The sequence below is a fragment of the Homo sapiens genome, chromosome 7 (assembly GCF_000001405.40).
Source record: "Homo sapiens chromosome 7, GRCh38.p14 Primary Assembly".
Taxonomy (NCBI): Eukaryota; Metazoa; Chordata; class Mammalia; order Primates; family Hominidae; genus Homo; species Homo sapiens.
This window is the reverse complement of record NC_000007.14, coordinates 153,142,283-153,145,029: the sequence shown is the minus strand read 5'-3', so window position 1 is coordinate 153,145,029 and position 2,747 is coordinate 153,142,283. Positions and strand designations below refer to the sequence as shown.

The 2,747-nt window shown below is 37.8% G+C and overlaps 1 pseudogene; it reads left to right on the top strand.

Annotated features, from left to right (window-relative positions):
• The first annotated feature begins 441 nt into the window (after positions 1-441).
• LOC124901802 (small ubiquitin-related modifier 2-like) lies at positions 442-825 on the top strand (annotated as a pseudogene).
• The last annotated feature ends 1,922 nt before the right edge of the window (positions 826-2,747 follow it).

Sequence of the window (2,747 nt, the reverse complement as noted above, 5' to 3'; positions counted from 1 at the left end):
AGGAGGGACAAGCCCAGAAGACCAAATGCTACTCTTGTAGGGCAGGCATGTCACTCCAAGAGAAGCAGAGTAGAATATGAATGGATTAAATAAGCCAATCAAAACAGAGATTATCAGACTGAATTTTAAAAGAAGAACAAAGGATATGCTATCTACAAGAGAAACATTTTAGATTCAGTGATACACAAGGGTTAAAATGAAAGGATGGAAAAATAGTGTGCTAACAGCATTCATGAGAGAGGTGGAGTGCTTATATTAGGATCAGACTAAATAGACATTAAAACAGAAAAGGCTGTTAGAAATGAAGGACATTTTATGATAATAAAAGGGTCAGTCTACCAGTAAATAATAACCATTATAAACACATATGGCTGCCACTGCTATGCTCGCTCAGTGTGGACCTGGTACCTCTTTTAAGCTGAGGAGACTCTGGTGCTCGTCATGGCCAACAAAAATTCCAACGAAGGAGTTAAGACTGAAAACAACGATCATATTAATTTGAAGGTGGTGGGACAGGATGATTCTGTGGTGCAGTTTAAGATTAAGAGGCATACGCCACTTAGTAAATTAATGAACGCCTACTGTGAATGACAGGGATTGTCAACGAGGCGGATCAGATTCCAATTTGACTGGTAACCAATCAATGAAACACATGTAACTGCGCAGTTGGAAATGGAGGATGAAGGTACAATTGATGTGTTCCAACAGCAGACGGGAGTGTCTACTGAGAAGGCAGCCTACTTCTTTCCTCCAGAACTCTGTTCTTTACAGACCAAGATGACATTCTCAGTTAGAAAACTGCAGTTTGGTTCCACCACATCCTGACTGCTACAGTATAGTTTTCTCTATTCTTTCATTTCCCCCTTCTCCATTCCTTTATTATACATAAAGTAGCTGGTATATGTGCACAAGCATATTGCATTTTTTTTAATTAAACAGCGAATGGTATATTTTGGTTGACATCAAGTGGAGACAGGATGGGGAAAAATACTGATTCTGTGAAAATACCCCCTTTCTCCATTAGCGGCATGCTCATTCAGCTCTTATCTTTATATTCCAGTAAGTTATTTTGCTCTCACCGTTTTAACAACAAAAAAAGCATACAAATTCCTGCATACTTTGTTCAGTTGGAGAATTTTAATGTTTTTCATATATCGTTGTAAAACCAAAGACAATTTTATAACTTTTTGCATGTAGCTGTTACATGTAGGTCAATCTGTCTTTAGGCAGGGATAAATTACTCTTAAAAAAAAATCCTAATTAGTTTTCCCTTCAAGTCAAGCATCTTGTTCTTTAAATAAGCTTCTTATTTAAAATGAAAATATATATACATATATTTCCATCTAACAACAAAGCTGCAAAATATGTGAAACTGACAGAATTGAAAGAAGAAATAAACAATGCAATAAAGGACTTGAACAACACTATAAAACAAACAGACCTAATAGACCTCTATAGGACACTCTAGCCAAACATAGCAGAATACATATTCTTTTTAAGTCCACATAGGACATTCTCCAGCACAGACTATATTTTATGTCATAACAAGTTTTAAGAAAGTTAAGGCCAGGTGCAGTGGCTCATGCCTATAATTCCAGCACTTTGGGAGGCTGAGGTGGGTGGATCACCTGAGGTCAAGAGTTTGAGACCAGCCTGACCAACATGGCCAGTAGGGTGTACTGTCTCTACTAAAAATACAAAAATTAGCTGGGCATGGTGGTGCATACCTGTAGTACCAGCTACTCGGGAGGCTGAGGCAGGAGAATAGCTTGAACCCAGGAAGTGGAGGTTGCAGTGAGCCGAGATCCTGCACTCCAGCCTGGGCAACAGAGTGCGACTCCATCTCAGAAAAAAAAAAAAAAAAAAGAAAGTTAAAAGTATTAAAGTCATATGTCATACAAAGTATGTTCTCTGACCACAAATGAATGAGGAAATATCTTGACATAAGTAAAAACAAAAATATATCATACCAAAATATAGGGGATGCAGCTAAAGCCATGCTCAGAGGCAAACTTATAGCTGTAAACACCTATATTAAGAATGAAGAAAGATTTCAAATGAAAACCTAACCACCTCCTACCTTAAAAACTAGAAAAAGAAGAGTAAACCAAACCCAAAGAAAATGAAACAAACTGTAAAGATTAGAAGGATATAAGTTTTTAAAAAGAATAGAAAATGATCAACAAAGTCGACAAAACTAAAAGTTCTATGAAAAAATAAAATTAACAAACTTTTAGCTAGACTAACCAAGAAAATGAGGGAAAACTCAAATTACTACAATCAAGCATGAGAGTAGAGACATTACTGCTGACCTTAGATTCAAATTACTACAATCAGGAATTAAAGTAATGTGTTCGAAAACACCTCCATTTTGAGTTCAAACTTTGGTGCTTCAGCATCTTCCTCACTGCTCTAATTGTGAACCCACACCCACTGATGCTCTTTGAAAACAAACCCAACTGCTGTACTCTATTCTCCTTTCTTCATGTGCTTGGCTTCCTTTCAAACCACCCAGTGAAATTCCCTGGTTTTGATAAATCTCAACCACACCCCAGATTACTCCAATAAAGATTTTGGCCCACAAGTGCTCTCTCACTCACTCTCTCTGTCTCTTTGTCTCTCTCTCTCTCTCTCTCTCTCTCTCTCTCCTCCACCCATTTTGTTGACCACACTAGTGGTTGTATTCCTGTGTAGCTCTGCATCCTATGCAGTCACTCCCTCCCTGGGAGTGTAATAACCTTCTTTCC